General features: G+C 37.8%; 1 annotated feature.

Moving 5' to 3' along the window:
- Positions 695–989: an enhancer, noted in NCBI's record as "tiled region #5619; K562 Activating DNase matched - State 13:Ctcf". NCBI's record gives its function as "activates a minimal TATA promoter and a strong SV40 promoter by Sharpr-MPRA in K562 cells {active_cell/tissue: K562}" and the evidence as "EXISTENCE:reporter gene assay evidence [ECO:0000049][PMID:27701403]".

Genomic DNA, 1,348 nt, shown 5'->3' with positions numbered 1-1,348 from the left:
ACTGAGGTGTGGGGAATGGGGTAGAGTGAGGGGGTATATGTAAGTTATATATACTTTTTGGTTAATTATTCTGTAAACCTAAAACTGCAGAAAGAAATGCCTATATCATTCTGTCTACATCCAGCTATTGCAGCAATTTGCTCCAAGTCAGAAATAAGCTTTTTAATTTAAGGAAAAAATATATAAGAGATATTTTAGCTTCTAGTCAACTAAGGTACTATTGAATAAATTACGCATGCTAAGGACTAAGCTAATCATACTGTGACTGATGCTTTTGTTAAAACTCCATAGAGACTATAAAAAGACTCTGAAGAAAGCCCTTAAGAGATCCCCATATGTAGTATTTAGAGTTAATAAACTTCTCACTATCCTTACCTAGGATAAGGTCTTCACAAAGATTAGCTTGTCTATGCCTAATAATATCTGATCATTAATGGCATGATTGTCGATACCCAAAGCATCATCAATGATCCAGAATTTATTTATTTAGAATTTCTATTACCCCTACAATCTTAGAATTTTCCAGCATTCTAATGTTTTCTTTCAGAGATATTCATAAAGATTCTACAAGTGTGTATCAGTCAGAGTCCAGTCAGAAAACAGAAATAAGTCTATGTTTTCCATAGAAGTACCTTAATATAGAAAATGTGTTAAGTAGATGTTACAGAAGTTCTAAAGCCCAAGCCCAATGCAGAGTGGAACCATTTCCATCTGCCCAATGGGGGCTGGAGCCACAGAGGAGACACATCTGTTAGAGATATTGACCAAAGCAGAGAGAGAGAATTAGTTTGTCTTCTCCCCTCCTTCTGCCCTCCAGTGTCTCACTTGTGCCTTCTATTGGTCAGAGTGATCCAAAAGTCAGAGTGCAGGGGAAACAGGGAAGTGTTGCTCTCCCATTATCGAGAAGGGCAGAGACTGGATCTGACACCAAAACTGAGAAGTGACTGACAAAAGGTGCTCATACTTCAACAATCTGTTCATTATGGCATCCATAAAAACGCTGAATTCACAGAAAAACTCAGAACTATGGAGAGAGGAAAAATCGTGTCTTCACAAAGTTTCTCATAACTGCTGATAATGGTAAAACACTAATGTCTTTTCAAGGAAGGAAAAAAAAAAGTTGACAGTCCCATAAAAGTAGAATATAGTGGGCATCCAAATGATGAGGGAAGTTTTGGAATGAGAACTTCCACTGGCACCTTCTTGGGTTTCTCTATCTCTGCTATCAGCTTTTAGCCAACTGAGATACATATGTGCAACACCGGATATGATCTAAAGTTAAGGAAAACTGAACTATCTTGGGGCTCTGCACTTCCTACTGTTTTTCTGCCTCAAAAGTCTGCCATTG

The sequence above is a fragment of the Homo sapiens genome, chromosome 2 (genome assembly GCF_000001405.40).
Source record: "Homo sapiens chromosome 2, GRCh38.p14 Primary Assembly".
Taxonomy (NCBI): domain Eukaryota; kingdom Metazoa; phylum Chordata; class Mammalia; order Primates; family Hominidae; genus Homo; species Homo sapiens.
The sequence above is the reverse complement of the archived record's forward strand: the minus strand, read 5'-3'. Positions and strand labels throughout refer to the sequence as shown.